General features: G+C 51.2%; 1 annotated feature.

Moving 5' to 3' along the window:
- Positions 3,948-4,148: a silencer, noted in NCBI's record as "peak141 fragment used in MPRA reporter construct". NCBI's record gives its function as "represses an SCP1 promoter by STARR-seq MPRAs in K562 erythroleukemia cells {active_cell/tissue: K562}" and the evidence as "EXISTENCE:reporter gene assay evidence [ECO:0000049][PMID:32103011]".

Genomic DNA, 17,314 nt, shown 5'->3' with positions numbered 1-17,314 from the left:
ATGGTAAGGAAGTTTCTGAGATTCCACAAGCTGAGGTTGGCAAGCAGGAAACCCACTGTGGTGCCAAACAGGCTTGCCAGCAATCTGCTCTCTGGGGTGCTACCGTACCTTGTGGGGAAATCCACCTCCTCTGCAAGATGGAAATAACAATAGTACCCACAGGGTGGTTGTGAGGGCTGTATGATTCTATGTATGTGAAAGACTAAGAACACGTGATGTTTTTCTAAGTGTATTAAAGTGTAGTTAAGCCGTTGATGAATGTTAGCTATGCTATCACTATTATTATTATTATTACTAGAATAATAATCATCATCATTATCACGAACATCACCATTATTACTGCCATCTCCATGGAAAGAAAAGAGAACTTTCGAGAAGTTGTCTGCCTAGTGCCACTCCCGGGACCCAGCACGCTGGAACCCAGGCCCCAGCCTATCTGGTGTCAGAGACCATGCTCTTTCCACTCATACCAAGCAAGAAGCCTCTACTTCGGTCTCTGTATTCAGTAAATAGGGAAGCTGAGGTTCTGAGACTATAAGGGACGCACCTGGAGCCACACAGTGGGAGAATTCGTTCCAGGCCACCCCCACAGCCTTCTCTGGAAGGAAGCTTGAAGGCAACAGTAATCCTGGTCACCTGTGCGAATGTGAACCCCCTTGACTAATGTCACCAGCAGCTCCTGTCCTTTACTTTCTATCTCCTTGTCCCCCACCTCGTCTCATGTTGATTTAACCTGCAGTTTTATGGTCAATCATCTCATAGTAAATCCATTTTAATCTCCCATCGGGTCACCCAAGCTGTCTTTTTATTAGGAAATAAATAATGCAGCACTTTATGCCACACTGAGGGTTAGCCCTGGGAGCCTGGCAGTGGGAGGAGAGGCTGCACAAGCCTGGAGGAGCCTCGAGACCCCAGAGACAGAGAGAGGTACAAGAATAATTACAAGACGACAGGCGTGTGGGCATGGTTTGTGCAAGACATGAAAGCTGTAATAAAATCGGCTTTGTCTCCAAAGCTCTAGGTGAGATTTTAAATGAAAGGTATCAGCTCGGGGATGCTGGCTGTGCTTAGAGATAAGAGCTCTTAACCTAAGACCCTGCCTGTTGCTTACCTGCCAAGCCACCTGAGCCAGCCTGGCCCTCTCTCAGCCTCAGCATCCCCATCTGACTGACAGGAGTCATTCACCTACCCTGATAATGAGGTCCAGGTCACAAGCTCCACCCAGAGAACCCTGGGTTGATGGCTTCTAAGTAGCCCCAGAGGTCAGCCCTGCCTCTCTCAGAGACCCCTAGGTTAAGGAGCCCTGGGGGTCAGCCCTGCCCCTCTCAGTTTCATCTCTCCTGACTCTCTAAGGAGAAAGGGCACTAGACAGGGAGTCAGGAAACCTGGGGCCTCAGCCTAGCCTGGACAATGATTTGCTGTATAACCTTGGGCAAGGATCTTCCACTCTTGGGGCCTCATCTGTAAAATGGGGGACATGCTGGACACTAATGTTCTTTTCAATGTTCCAGTTTCTGGGGCCTGCCCAGGTTGACTCACTCAGTGGAGGGAAGGTGTGGGGGCTGAAGGGAGCCTCTCTGGCCAGCTGCCCCGCTGCTGCCCGTCTGTGTCCCTCCACCTCATTTCCTTATCCCTGGGGGTCCCATCTGGCCCTGTCTTCATGCCTGCTCCCCAGTTGCCAATGGAAGCATTTCAGTGCATCTCAGTTGGATGCAGAGAACTGAGTCTCTGCCTCCAGATGGCGATGTCCTCTCCTGCTCCAAGCCCTAAACTTAGATGCATTAAACATGAAAATCAGAAGCTCTAGCTACTTCCCCAAGCTGTCATCCTGCAAACTGTGCCTGGAAACGTGGTGCCAAATAAGAACAATAACAACAACACTGCGACTCACTGAACGCTGACTATCGAGGCACCGGGCACTGCCTTCAGGATTCACACGAATTCATCCATTTACTGCTCACAACAAGCCTACCAGAAAGCAATGATTATCCCCATTTTACAGAGGCAGAAACTGAGGCACAAAGAAGGTCAGAGGACTAATAATAGCCAAGCATGGACAGGACTAGACACTCTGACTCTTGAATCCTGATCATGACCCATAAGACCGGCCTTATTAGCTCCAATTTCCTGGACTTTGTCCCAGAAGACCCCAGAGGCAAGCTCAAAGGGATGCTGGCTCCATAGGAGGGCAAGGACTGGCCCCCATCAGCCCCTTCCCTGAGGGCCCCAGAGCCTCCCAGGGATACTTTCCCTACAGAGAGTGAAGCACACTCAGCCCGGCCTCCAGGAGTCCCCAGTACTGCCCAGAAAGGAGAGGCGGGGGTTGGGCTCACCCCCGGGTGTGCAGGCAGAACTGCATTGGGTGGGGCTGGACCCAGGGCAGCCTGAAGACCCCATGACCCTGAGAAGAAAGTCACGGAGCCTGAATGCTCTTAGTGAAGGGAGCACCGGGGCTTTCTGGGTAAGAAAAAGTTCTGGAGTCTGGTCACCCTTCTGGAGGCTGGAGACAGCTCTGGCTGAGCCCAAGGAAGTCATATATCAACACCTCATCTTGCCCCTCAGAGAGTCACCCCAGTACTGGCCACCACCACATTCAGGAAGTGACCACTGGCAAGGACCAGCTTCCTTATTTGTGCCTGGCTGGTCCCCTAGGACCTTCCCAACATACTTCACAGATTATTATTGTCTTAAAGACCAAAAAAAAAAAAACCAGAGCTGATTTCAGAGCTGTCATGGGACAGTGGGGAAGAGGAAGGGCTAGAGGTCAGGGCAGAGGTCTGGGTGACTTAGTAATGGAATGAACTTGTGGCCTCCAGCAATTCACTTCCCACCTTGGCCTTGGTTTTCTTGGTTGTAAATGGGAGCAATGACCTGACCTTACCGGGCTCAGAGAATTCAATGTGATCACGTTGATGGAGCTTTGACTTTGACACTTAAAACTGTGCGATCACCTCTTTGCTTTTGATGGAACATCTTTTCGTGACCTGGGAGGGAGGGAGGCACCAGCCAGTGAGAAGGAACAAGAAAACACTTAAAGTAAAACATGCAGCATGCCTTAGCTTTGAAAATCCAAACCTTCCTCGCAGGTTCAGGTCCAGGCCAGGACGCTCCCGCTGAGTTCTGGCTCTGCCCCTGCTCCCCACACTCAGGGGCTCCTGCTCTGCTTCTGTGTCTGGGCCAGAGCAAAATAGACACCTGGAGCCCGGCCAGCCCCTGGGTTTCTGCCCAGAGAAGGGCCGGGCACCCAGGCAGTGGGAAGGTGCTAGGAGAGGGGCCAGAAGCCACTGGGGAAGAGTGTGTGTGGTGTGTGTGTGTGTGTGTGTGTGTGTGTGTGTGTGTTAGAGAGAGAGAGAGAGAAAGAAAGGGAGAGAGAGAATGGGTAGGTACAGAAAGAGAGCAACAGAGAAACACACACAAGAGATTGGCCTGGCCTGTCCACCCTTCCGCCTGTCCTTGTCCTCTCCCACTTCCATGTGGCCTTGGGTGACCTCAGAACCTTGGTTTCCTTGGCTGGGAAACAGCATGATGCCCATCTCACAGGGAAGGTGGGAGGCTAGAGATGAGGGGTGTCAAGGGTCTGCTTGGTGCCCAGCCTAAGAGGGCAATTTAGCCTTCCTGCCTCTGTCCACCTGCAAACTTCCCTGACCCTCATCCACCAGCAGAGCTGAGGCCTGTGGTGGGCTCCAAACCAGCCTGCCTCAATCCCCTCCTGGCCCCACTGCCTTTTCGCTGGGGCCCTGGGCTGTGGCTTGGCCCCTGTGACCCGGTGGCTCCTCTGTACCTGGGGTGACCACAGCCCTGTCCCACGCTCGGTGAGTCCCCGCACAGGGGTGCTCAATACAGGGTTCCCACGGGTCCCCATGCTCAGGGATGGGGGGTGGCACCAGCCATGAGGCTATGCCCAGAGGTTCCCAAGGGAGCATCCAGAGGAACCAGGTCCACCGGGCACCTGTGTCACCTCGTCCAGGAAACCAGGACTGCTGTCAGGTGTTTACTGCTTGGTAAACATTTTGATGTTTCATTCATGAAACCTGCCTTTTCTGAGGTCTCCTGCAGTACAGACTGGAGTGAAGAATTTAATGAGAGCTGGGCCTGTGGTCCCTGAACAGCTCCAAGCACATGGCTCCCAGGAGGCCGTGTCTGCACTCAGAGCAGGAGTCCCCATCCCCATCCCACAGGTCACAGAGCAGGAGGGATGTGCTGCACAGGGAGGTGAAGTGGAGTCATCTCAATATATACAAACACACACAGTCGATGGATGGGGATAACAGTTCAGGCTTTTCTTTTTGCTTTTTTTTTTTTTTTTTTTTTGAGATGGAGTCTGGCTCTGTCGTCCAGGCTGGAGTGCAGTGGTGCAATCTCAGCTCACTGCAACCTCTGTCTCCCAGGTTCAAGCGATTCTCCTGTCTCAGCCTCCTGAGTAGCTGGGACTACAGATGCACACCACCACGCCCAGACAATTTTTAGTAGAAATGGGGTTTCACCATATTGGCCAGGCTGGTCTCGAACTCCTGACCTCGATGATCCACCTTCCTCATCCTCCCAAAGTGCCGGGATTATAGGCGTGAGCAACAGCGCCCAGCCTCAGTTCAGGCTTTTCGAAGAACATAGTAGGTGCACAACAAAGATTAAGGAAGGAAGGGAGGAAGGGAGGAAGGGAGAAGGAGGGGAGGAGGGGAGGGAGGGAGGAAGGGAGGAAGGAAGTGGGGAGGGGGGAGGGAGAAGAAAAAAGGGACATTCCATCACAGATATGTCTTGGTTTCCAGAATGACCCTGTGGATTGTGGGGGTGGCTGCTGTTAGCTCTACTTCTAGATGTGGAAGCAAAGGCTCAGAGAGATTAAGTGACCTGCCCAAGGACACACAGCATCAACAGGTACTCCTGACTGCTGGGGAGCGCTGAGTCTGCCTCTCCTTTGACAGACAGTGGAGCTCACACTCAGGGAAGGGAAGTGATGAGCCCAAAGGCACGAGCCAGTGTGATGCCAGAGTTGCCAGGACCTGCACCCAGCACTTCTATGACCCAGGACAGGCTCAGCTCCTGCACCCAAGCTGCCTCTTTCCTCTAGGCTACTCTGTACCCCCTTCCTCCTTCTCCTCCCACCCCAAAGCCTGCAACAGCCTCTGTCCCAGCCCTACCCTGTCCACAGTCTTGGGAGACCAGATGTCTGGCACTTTCCAGGCAAATGGAGATATGAGGTGCCTCCAGCCCTTTATAGACCCCAATAAGATGTTCTCCTTCTATGTCCTGTCCCCATCAAAGGCCAGGGGAACAAGGACACTCAACAAATGTTCCACATCATCCCAGAAGTGGGCCACACAACCCCCTGATGCCAGGACTCCAGACTGACAAGTGCAGTACTGAAATACCTCTTAGGCCACTGACACCAGACCTCACTGCCAGGCCTCTGCTTACATACCTCCTGTGATGGAGAGCTTACTCCCTGCAAGTCACCCACCATATTGAGAGAGCCCTGTTAGAAAGCCTTTCCTTAGCCTTCAGCTGAAATCTGCCTCTGTGACATTTATTCTGTCCTAAATACAATTCCCGGGGCTACACAGGATCACTTTGTCCTTTCTCCCTTTGCCCTAAGGCAGCTCTTTAAGTATTTGAAAGAATGATGCTTGTCACTTACTCATTCATGAAACGTTTACTTGAAGGCAACATCGCAGTTTTTTTCATTCCTCCATCCATTCACCCACCCATCCATTCATTCATTCATTCATTCATTCATTCATTCATTCATTCATCTGACTGAGTGCCAGGCCCTGGGCTGCCTTCTGTGCATACAGCTGTCAACAAGCCACAGTCTCCACCTGCAAAATGCCCCCAGCAGGGTGGGGGAGACCACGAATAAACCCACAATCGCACAAAATATTTAAGTGCTATGATGGGGGGTGCAAATAGTTGGGGGAGCCCGGAGAAGGCCACAGGGGTAGGGAGGCATGAAGGGCAGAGGAAGCAAGGAATGTCTTAGGGTCTGAAGTTGGAGAGAGACTCCTCCACATCCTGGGAACTGAAAACGGGAGGGAGCAGCCTGAAGCTGGGCAGGGGGATGGGGTGGAAGGATGGGTGAAATCAGACTATGCAGGGCCCTGGAGGCCATCCTTCCCACATGACCCTGCAGCTCTGTACCCCACCTGGATCTCCTCTGCATCCTGGACAGCCCAGGAGGCCAGGGCCCTACATGACCTTGGTGTTCAGAGGTAGATGTGAGACCCAAGGGACCTCAGAGCCAGGAGCAAAGTAGAGAAAAGCCTGCAAGGGACTCGGGAGTCTAGGCCAGAGCTGGGGGGCCAGGCCAAGGCAGGAGGACAAAGGGACCTATGTTGAGCCCTGTAGGAGTTCCAGGTCCTGTGCCAGGTTCCCCCATGTGCAGCATCCAATCTGGTCCTCACTACAGTCCTACAGGACACAGCTCATTAATCCACCTGACAGGTGAGCTGAGGGATGCTCCCTCACATTTCATCTCCTGTCATTCCCACAGCAATCCTGTAGGGAGGAGGTCATTCGTTCTCTTCGGGGCTTGGAGACTTTTCCTAGCTCACACAGGACTCCAACCCAAGCTTAGCCTATGTTCAGGACTCCACTGGAGTGGTGGTCAGGGAGGCTGGACTGTAGTGACTGGATAGTCTAGTTCAAGGAAAGGCCCTTGCCTTGGGCTCAGGCTCTGGGGCTGCTCAGCTCTGCCCAGGGCTCGCTTCCTAAAGACCAGGATCACTGGGGCTAAGGGCTCAGGTCTGGGTCAAACAGACCCAGGTTTAAGTCCTGCCACAGTACTCACTGGCTGCTCCCCCACCAGGCCATGGACTCCAGGGATCAGAGGGACAGTAGCTGGGGGCCTAGAGGGGTGGATAGGAGGGTGGACTCTGCTGTCAGATGCAGAGTCCAAGTCTTGGTTCCGACACTGAGCAGCCATGCCCTAGGAATGCCACGTAAGCTCTTGAGCCTCAGTGTCCACATCTGTAAAATGGGGTGATAACAGCCCCTGTCATCAGCTGCTTGTGAGGGGTCAGTAACCATGGGGTGGGTGTAGCAGAGCATTCAGCACTGTAAGTGCCCCACCAATGGCAGACCAGATACTTATCTCCACCTCTTGGTTCCCGGGCAGCCCTGAGAATGTCGTCAGTGGAAGGAGCCCTTGGGTGATGAATGAATCCCTCCCTGCCATATGATCCTCCCTGAGCCTTTGATTCCTTATCTATAAGACAGGGCTGGTGACATCCATGTCACAGAGCTGCGCTGAGGATAAAGCTGAGACCCTGAAAGCCCCACCCCAGTGACTAGCAGCAGACAGGGCCCGGGGATACGGTCCCCTACTTTCCCACCGAGCTTGCCCCTGTCACCACTGCGACGGGCTTCCTTTCCCTGAGTCTCCGTGGGGAGCCTGGGATGCTTCTCCTCTATGCAAGGTTGGAAGGCATTTGGTGCACTGGACGGCTGGTAATCCCATGAGCAGGCATTTGTCACGTGCAGGTGATGAGCAAAGCCATTTACACCGCTATTATCCCACTGAGTCTCCCCACAGCCCCAACAAGGCAGGGACATGATGCCACCACTTTGCAGGTGAGCAGGTCAGAGGTGCACAGTGACTAGCCCGAGGCCCCACGGGTGGCAAACAGTGAGTCCCAATTGGAACCCAGCCACCAGCCCCATCGACAACCCACTCTCTCAGCCACCCACCCTCCCTGCAGAAATAACAGTGATGAATGACCAGAGGTGACAGTCCCAGAAGGAAGGCTGAGAGAACTGAGTCCTCTGCTTCCTCTCCAGGAGACCCAGTTCCTCAGCAGGAAGGAGGCTCCACATCTGGCTGCTGCCCCCTGATTGACTGTCCAGGACAGATCTGCCCAGGACACCATCTCCCACTGTTTGATCTTTTGAGCTGAGCAAGCCCCAGGACAGAAGGTGAGCTTGGCGTTTGCTAAGATTCCTGCAAGACGGGGGTCAGGGAGAGGCCAGCCAGGTTGGAGGAGGGGCGGGGTAGGGAGTCAGCATGAGAGGTGGAGGATGCTTATCCAGTCCCCTCCTGCACTGGCTGCCCCTTGCTCTTGGCAACTCAACGTCCCTGTTCTTCTCCCCCCTCACACTGTTACATCTGCACTCAAGAACAGATCTGCTTGCACTGTGAATATGGACGGAGAGGAGATGATCACTGTTTGGGGGCCACAGAGGGTTCCCTCTCCTGATGCGAAGGAACTGGTAGAAACAAAGGGTACAAGCTTTGGGCTATATTTTGGGATCGAGTCACCTAACCTTTCTGGGATCAGTTTTCTCATCTATAAAATGGGGTAATAGATCATGCCTTGGAAGGAAGTGTGATAATAACACATGTAGAATTCTCATTGCTGGGCAAGCCTACAGCAAGACCCAGTAAGTCCCAGCTGCTACTGTTATTGTTAAAATAATAACCATCTGGTCCAAGCTCCCTAATTGTACAGAGAAGGAAACTGAGGCCCAGAGACAGCAGGCCTCAAAACTGTGAGCAGGGGAGCCTGAAGGAGATCCCAGGTCTCCTGAGCCTGCAACCCCAATCTTGGTGGGTCTCAGCCCCACTGGGATCTTCCAGGAGTCCTCAGAGAAGCCTGATAATTCCCACTTTCAAGAGGTCATTTTCTATAAGAGGAAACACTCATAGTCTCTGGTATCCGATCCAGAGTCTGCCAGTCCCCTAAAGGGGTTCCTGTAATGGGTAGGGGTCTGGGAGACAGCCTGGAGACCCAGAGCCCAGCAGTGGCTTTGCAGAGACCTAGATACCCATTTAGCACATGCTGCCTGCTGGGAACGATGCCAGACAGTAAGCCTGGCAATACTGTGCTCAGATCCAGCCCTGCTGCTGACATGCTGTGGGCCTGGGCAAGTTCTTTACCTCTCTGAGCCTCAGTTTTCTCATCTGTGAAATGGAAATACAATATCTACTGTATGGAGGGCTATGAGGAATAAACATAATAATTTATATGGGGTGCCTGGCACACAGTAGGAGCTCTAGTGCTCTTCCCCTCAGCCCTGACTAGCCTGATGACCTGGATGACCCCTGAGGGATGATCCTCTGAGGGAACTGGCCTCAAGGCTTCCACCCTCCTCCCTGGCACAGCAGCTCAGGGTCCAGCAGGCCACATTTTCTCTGTGCATCCTTACAGATCAACAATGGCTTGCTCTGAGGGCCAGGCCAGGCGGCAGTGGGTGGGGGTGGGTGCAATAGTCATTCAGAGGAGACGGGGGGGTGGGTAAGAGTCACCAGGAAGAAAGAGACTCTACCCCTCGCTGATCGAAGATGGTGGTGAGGAGGTGGATGGTAATATTATGGTGAGGAAGATTATATCAGGTAGCTACTGTGTGTCAGTCATTTAAGTACGTTTCACACGTTAATGCATTTACTCTTCCCAACAACTCTAAAAAGTTGGTATCAATATCATCCCCATTTTGTAGGTGAGAAAACTGAGGCACAGAGAGCTTCAGCAACCTGCCCAAGGTCACACAGTTGGTAAGTGACAATGTTAGAATTCAGATCGATGGGTCCAGAGTCTACATTTCTAGCCACAGAACTATGACAGTGAAGTAATGGACACAAATGACGACAGCAGCCAACCGTTATCAACTGTTGACAGAGTGCCTGGCTGTTTAAGCACTTCACATTACCTCATTTAATTTTCACTGCGTTCCTATGAAGAAGGCAATACTTCCCCCCATTTTACAGATGGGAAACTGAGACTCAGAGAGTGAAGTGATACGATCTCGCTCTGTCCCCACCCTAATCTCATCTTGAATTGTAGTTCCCATAATCCCCATGTGTCGTGGGAGGGACCCGCTGGGAGGTAATTGAATCATGGGGGCTGTTACCCTGATGCTGTTCTCAGGATAGTGAGTGAGTTCTCACAAGATCTGATGGTTTTATAAGGAGCTTTTCCCCTTTGCTCGGCACTTCTCCTTCCTGCCGCCATGTGAAAAAGACGTGTTTGCTACCCCTTCTGCCAGGATCGTAAGTTTCCTGAGGCCTCCTCAGCCCTGTGGAACTGTGAGTCAATTAAACCTCTTTCCTTTATAAATTACCCAATCTCAGGCAGTTCTTTATAGTACCATGAGAATGCTCTAATACGTGGAGTAACCGGCCCAAAGGCTCAGTGATGGAACTGGGATTTGGACATAGCTCTGTCCAAAGCCTGTGCTTTTAGTGTCTTTAGAAGGCACAGGATGGAGTCAGGAGCCCTTCTCTGTCTGCTCCTCAGTCACTGTGTGACCTTGGGCAAGCTGCTCACCCTCTCTGATCCCTGCCAGCCCTCAGAGTCCATTCCACTCCTTCCAATTGCCATGCCTTCTCCCTTTGTAGATGCCTTCTGGAGCCTCCTCCCTCCTGTACACCCACCTATAGCCCACATGCCCCTTGAACCCACCCATCCAAACCAACTCCCCAGACACTCCCCCCAACCCCTAGCCCAGGAAACCACGCACCCAAAGTCACCACTTGTGGGTCCTCAAGTCTTCTGAGGTGTCCAGCCGCCCCTCTGGTAATCAGAGCAGACATCATGATATCATCTCAGGTCTACCTTTTTCTCTCTTGTTCTCCCCACCTTCAGTCCTATAGGAACAATTACTGAGCCAATTCTTTCCTCTAACAGAACAGAGATCAGAAGCATAGGCTCTGGAGAAGAGCAGACTTAGTCTTGGGAATCTCAACTCTACCACTCACTGTGTGATCTTGGACAAGTTTCTTTACCTCTCTGAGCCTTAACAATATGCCTGCAAATTGTGGATAACAATAGTACCTACCTTACAGAGTGGCCGTAAGACTTAAATATGATCATGTATAAAGTGCCTGAGTGGTAGAAATTCTCAGTCAATGATAGCTGTTAGTATTATTATTCTCTGCCACTCCTCCACACTTCAGCAGCCCCCACTCTAGTTCAGGCTTCCATCTCGTCTCTGTCCTTGCTTAATGAAATGACCTCCTGCTCCTCCCCAGACCCCCTGCTGAGATATTTCCCTCCCCATTCTTATCCTTCTTGCACACTTCTAGCCACTGACCCCAACCTTTCTCAGCTCCAAGACTTTCTTCCCCAGCATCTGCCAGGGTCTCTCACTAAAAGGACTTAGCGTGGAATTCAAGGGTCTTCCCCTTTCCTCCATCAACCACAACCTGCCCTTGCAGCCATGGCTCCCGTAACTTCCTTTCCAAAGGGTGACCAGTGCTCCAGACAATCCAAGCTCCCCCATGGCCCCAGGATCCTTGGCGGAGGTTTACCTCTGTCAACCCTTTGCTCAGACTGTTTCCTAGGCTGAGAATATCCTTGCACTTATCTCCACATCTCCATGTCCCAGCTAAACTTGCAGACCTAGCTTGAGTGCCTGCTCCTACAGGAAGTCTGCTCTGATTTCCCACCTTACTTTTGGCCCTGCTGCATTCTCACTGGGTAAGAGTTCTCCCTCTGTTTCCTCGTCCTGACTTCCAGAACAGTTCTCTGGACTTTCTTTGTCTATAGCACTTACCATAGTCTATTCAAATGTTCGGTGTACATACATAGTATATCCTCTGCTTTGAAAGTATGGTAAGTTAAAGATGGAATTCTTTGCTATTCCTTCAGTCAAGAAGTGGGCACTAGGTCCCTTCCCGCTGCATGTGAGGTGGCCTGTGACTGCTTTGACCAACTGAGTATGGTAGAGGTGACATTATTCCAGGTCTGAGTCTAGACTTCAAGGGGTCTGGCAGCTTCTGCCTTGGTGTTGTTAACTTAAAAATTACACTGGACTTAAAAATCACACAGTTTAGGGTGGGCATGATGGCTCATGCTTGTAATCCCAGTGCTTTGGGAGGCCAGTGAGGGAGGATTGCTTGAGGCCAGGAGTTTGAGACTAGCCTGGGCAACATAGTGAGACCCCATCTCTACAAAAAAATTTAAAATTAGCCAGGCATGGTGGTGTGTGCCTGTACTCCCAGCTACTCAGGAGGCTGAGGGGAGGATTCCTTGAGCTGAGGCATTCAAGGTTGCAGTGAGCCATGATTGTGCCACTGAACTCCAGGCTGGGCAACACAGCAAGACCCTGTCTCTAAATTTAAAAAAAAAATCACACAGTTTATAAATTGGACAGGAGACTTTGTTTCTTATAAATGATTACAGCCTGCAAGGTGGCCATTTCACAAGCTAGGAAGCATCGCCTCCTACCAAAGGCATTACCAGGCCTTTCAAAGGAGGGCAGGATAAGACAGAAATTTAAGCTGAATAGGTTAGCCAAACATACATATTCAACAGTTTATAGGAGCAGCTATGAATATTCATGAAGGTGGTCACGAAGGCATTTAAATGTGCAGTCTCTGTAAACTGACCATGGTAGGTAGTCTTCTTATCAGGAGAAAGTTACGGAAATCAGTCCCTTGTCCAATCAAAGCTGTAGTTATGGCTTGTGGAACTGGGAGTCAGTTAGTCGGTGTCTGGTGGTTGGTGAGCTGTAACTGCTCTAACATTGCTTATCTCAAGGTCAGTGCTTGTTTGGCTGATAGAGAAAAAAGAAAACCTGTGGCAATTAGAACATGGATTATTCTTGAAGTGTAGGGTTGTGTGACTCAACCCTTGCCTGGCATGGCGTTAGGTCCTGTTTATAATTTGGTATCTTACTGCCACAAAGAATTCGTTCTGTCAGCCTTATGATCTCTATTTTATTTTAACATTAACGCTGGGGCTGGGCGCGATGGTTCATGCCTGTAATCCCAGCACGTTGGGAGGCCGAGATGGGCAGATCACGAGGTCAGGAGATCGAGACCATCCTGGCTAACACAGTGAAACCCCGTCTCTACTAAAAATACAAAAAAAAGTAGCTGGGCATGGTGGCAGGCACCTGGAGTCCCAGCTACTCAGGAAGCTGAGGCAGGAGAATGGTGTGAACCCAGGAGGTGGAGCTGGCAGTGAGCCGAGATGGCGCCACTGCACTCCGGCCTGGGTGACAGAGCAAGACTCCGTCTCAAAAAAAAAAAAAAAACATTAATGCAGGTCAGCTGTTATGTCTGAACTGTAAAAGGAAGCCAGTGTAACTAGGCACATTGGACTTCCTACCCTGTCAAGGCTGGGAACTCCATTTTTAAGGTTTTTCTGGGGTCCCTGGGCCAAGAGGGGGTCCCTTTAGTTGATTGTGGGCTTGGGATTTTATTTTTAGTTTACAGTCTCTTGCAGCCCTGTGCCTCCATGTAAGAGCTCCATCTATCACGATGCTATCATCTGGTGAGGAAGCTAAAGGCATGCAGAAGGTTCTGGAGGAGATGCCATCTGAAGAAAGAGCCAAGAAGCACTAAAATGCCAAACAGTGAAGATGTCATCTTGGAAGGGACCCTCCAGCCCCAATATTGCTCCTGGCTGACACCAAGTGGCCCAGCTGAGCCCTTCTCAAATTCCTGGCCCACAACATGATGAACAAAATAAAATGGTTGTTTTAAGCCACTGAATTTTACAGTAGTTTGTTATGCAGCAATAAATAACTACAACAGAATTATCTTCCCCACCCTATTTACTCAAGCAGGGGTCAGCTCCTTCCCAGCCTTTGGGTTCTTGGCTCCAAATCACCTCCTCCAGGAAGCCCACCTTGACCTCCAGGTGAGGTCAGACCCTGGATCCTATGTGCTCATCACACCCCATACGCTTCATTACCACGTGTGGTCATCTGCATGTCTTGCGGGTACTTGAATTGTCTCTGTCTCCCCTACTAGACTGAACCCTCTGCTGCACTGCCACCCTTGGCACAAACGAGGGCTCAGTGAGTAATTGCTACGTGAGTGAGCACGTCTGTCCCAGCCCTAGGCACTGGGCAGGGGCAGAAAGGCAACCCCAGCTAGGCATCTACAGCACAAGCTCTGATTCCCTCCGAACTACAGGTTGGAGTCCAGGGCCTTGGTCACTCTGCCAGCCCTGGCAGGCGTTGTCTCCAGCTTTCTACCTCTGAGGAGCCCCTGTGGTGGCCCCCCCTGGAGAGAGGGACTGGGAATACCTGGGGTGTGGGAAAGGGGGTCTGGGCTAAAGAGGGAGGCACCAGCATCAACCTCCTGCTGCCCCCATGACCCCAACCCACTGTCTGATGTTCCCGCAGCCTGTCCTCTGCACCTGCCTCCAGGACACCTCCTTGGCTCCTTCCTTGACCTCCAGCAATTCCTCCATCCAGCATCCTCCTGTGGGCCTTTGTCCACTTGGGGGAAGCTTTTGAACCCTGGCTCATCCATCTCTTCATTGCACTCCCTGCATCATGCACTGGGCTTCCAGTTCTATAGCAATGAACTCATTTAATCTTTACAACAGCTCCATCTTACTAATGAGGAAACTGAGGTCAGACAGGTTAGGTGACTTGCCCAAGGTCACACAGGAAGTGGAAGAAGCAGGCTCCAGGCTCCCACTCTGTTTCTCTGGCTCAGAGTCCAGTGTTTTTCCCGCTGCCCCGGATGAGATGACTCAGAGTCCCCCTTGGATTTGCAACATGTTCCTTCCTTCCTGATGCCCAGCTGAGAGCTGCCTGCCTGCCCGAAAGCTGATTCCCCCTTCCTTGGAACTCAAGGCCCTCCCATCTGAGTCTCCCAGATTTCCATGTTGGTACCAGCAGCAAATATGGGGTGGGAGGAGCAAGCGAGTAAGAGAGGGAGAGAGATTCCATCGATTCATTGAGAAACAGAGAAGAGACATCAAGAAAGCCTTTAGCACACAAAGACACCAAGTGCACCCTCCACACACACTCACAAGGAAGGAAAGAGAGAAACACACACAGTGCGAGGTGGGGGCATGGAGATGAGATCATACATATGAAGAGGTAGGAGAGGGGGAAAGGAAGAGAAAAAACAGATTCACACTAGGAAGTAAAAACACAGAATAAGAAATGCCTAGCGGGAGATAAAGATAGAAAAATCAGATACACGAATATACAAAGGCAGTTACAGACAAATCCACGAAGAGAGAGCCGTTGTGAGAGGATATAAATGAGAAAGAGGCACAATCTCAGAGAGAGAGGGGGACGCTCACAGGACACACTCTCAGGCAGAGGCGGAGGGAGACAAGAGAGAGAAACATGTCACAACAGACGCAGGCAGAGGAATGGAGGAACGAGCTGGGGAAGATGGAAAAGGCCACAGTGAGACTGAAGAGATGGGGGAGAGAATAATAAGCACAGAGAAAGAGCGATGGGGAGAGGCAGCAGAGAAGCCACAGATGCCGGAGCATCAGGGCTGGGAGTTCGCACCTTCCCCTCCCCACCTCCCGCTCCGCTCCACTCCACCACCTCCTGCCTCTGCTCACAGCAGCCTGAAATGTAAGCCCTGAGTGGAGAAGTTAATTCTCCCAAGTCCAGCCGCCAAGACGCACTCTGCAGTCCACCCGCATGCCCTTAGCGACACAGAGGCGGAGGGGGATGCATCTGCACCTAGCACAGGTTTCTTCTCCTCTTGTCTGAGCTTTGGAACTGCTGAAAGGAGAGAGACCTGCCCAGCATTTGATCATCAAACCCATGCCCAGAGCCGCATGGTTATACCTGCTAATTTCTGAGCCACAGGCAGCTGGAGGCGGGTACAACCCACCAGCCCCTCAACAAGCACCCATAGGGTGCCCACCAGGGACAAGATGCAGCCCCTGCACTAGGGACCCCCCACGTGGGAGGCAGACAGTCCTAGGTCCAAATGTCCCTTACTGGTCCCTACCTGTGATGACTCACCTGATCTCCCTAAGCCTCCACGTCCACCTCTGTGAAATGGTATCATCATGTCTACCTCACAGGTTGCTGGGAAAAATCAAAAGTGGATCCTGGTGAAGCACATTACACAAAATCTGGCATATAGTAGGTGTTCAATAAACATTGGCTTTCTCTAATTGGGAGAGCCTGGGAAATACAGAGATAACAGCAGAAAATGAAGGGTAGCCACAAGACTATTCAGTCCTTCTAGTTGAGTCACGGGAGACTTTGATGGCTTTTGAACCAGGCCTTAGAATGTAGGGAATATTTAAAAGTGAGAGATGGAGATGGGAAAGGGGGGAGCTCTCTTGGCAGACGAATTGGCATGCGCAAAGGCGGGGAGGTAGGGATGGTCTCCAGAGTAGAGACCTGCCTGGTTTAGTTAGAGTGGAAGATGTGTGGACATGGGAGGGATCATCTAATACAATATTCACATTTCATGGATGGAGAAACTGAGGCCTAGAAATGTTAAGTGACTTGTTCAAACCTACACATCTAGCAAGTGTCTGATCCATCTCTTGAATCCAGAACTCAGTGACTCAGGGATTCTCCCCTTTGCCAAGCTGGAAGTCAGCCCCTTGCAGGCGAAAGCGGAGACCCAGACTGAAGGCATCTTGGGTCTTCAGAAGTTTGGTGTTTTTCTAACAGCTGAAGTCCCAGAAACTAAGCCTCAGGCGGGAACATAAGTGGCAGATCCTGACTGCAAATGTCAATGTCTGCCAAGCCTAAGCTTTGACTGTAGATGCCACTGAGGTAGGGCAAGGAAACCCTATCAGGCCTGGGGGTTCAAAGGTGGGGCTCCACTTCTGAGTAGGAAATCCTTCAGTAGACATGTGTGAGGTCCCGGAAAATGTCCCATGAGCCTCTGGGAGTTTTCTGGCCTCGGGTAAGAGTTGGGGTTATTAATCCATGATTTATGAATGAGAGGGTACGATTCAGGGAGGTCAAAACCCCTGAAATTTAATCAAATTTAATATTACGAATATATTATATATAATTCCTAATTATATAACTCTAATTATATTCCCATATACCTTCGAAGGAGGGTAGGTGCTCATAAATGAGGCCCTTCATTCTTCCGGCCACTTGGACACACACTCGAGGAGTCGGAGCAGAGAGCTGGAGCTCCCAAAGGCCACCAATGAAGGAGAGCAGGGACAAAGAGCAGTGATGGGGGAGAATACCACCATTATTATAAATCAAGTCACAGAGTGTGAATTGGCAGTGACATGAGTCAATAATCCTAGATCTGGGCCAGGTGCAGTGGCTTATGCCTGTAATTCCAGTACATTGGGAGGCCAAGGTGGGAGGATTGCTTGAGTCCAGGAATTTGAGACCAGACTGGACAACACAGTGAGACCCCGTCTCTACAAAAATGTTAAAAAAAAAAAAAAAAAAAACGAGCCAGGTGTAGTGTCGTGCACCTGTGGCCCCAGTTACTCAGGAAGCTGAGGTGGTAAGATTGCTTGAGCCCGGGAGGTCGAGGTTGCAGTGAACCATGATCATGCCACTGCACTCCAGCCTGGGTGATAGGGCAAGACCCCATCTAAAAAATAATAATAATAATAATTCCTAGAGCTGAGGTAGGAAAAGAAACCCCAAGAAGGTAGCCTAAATTTTTTTTTTT

The sequence above is a fragment of the Homo sapiens genome, chromosome 1 (assembly GCF_000001405.40).
Source record: "Homo sapiens chromosome 1, GRCh38.p14 Primary Assembly".
Classification (NCBI taxonomy): Eukaryota; Metazoa; Chordata; class Mammalia; order Primates; family Hominidae; genus Homo; species Homo sapiens.
The sequence above is the reverse complement of the archived record's forward strand: the minus strand, read 5'-3'. Positions and strand labels throughout refer to the sequence as shown.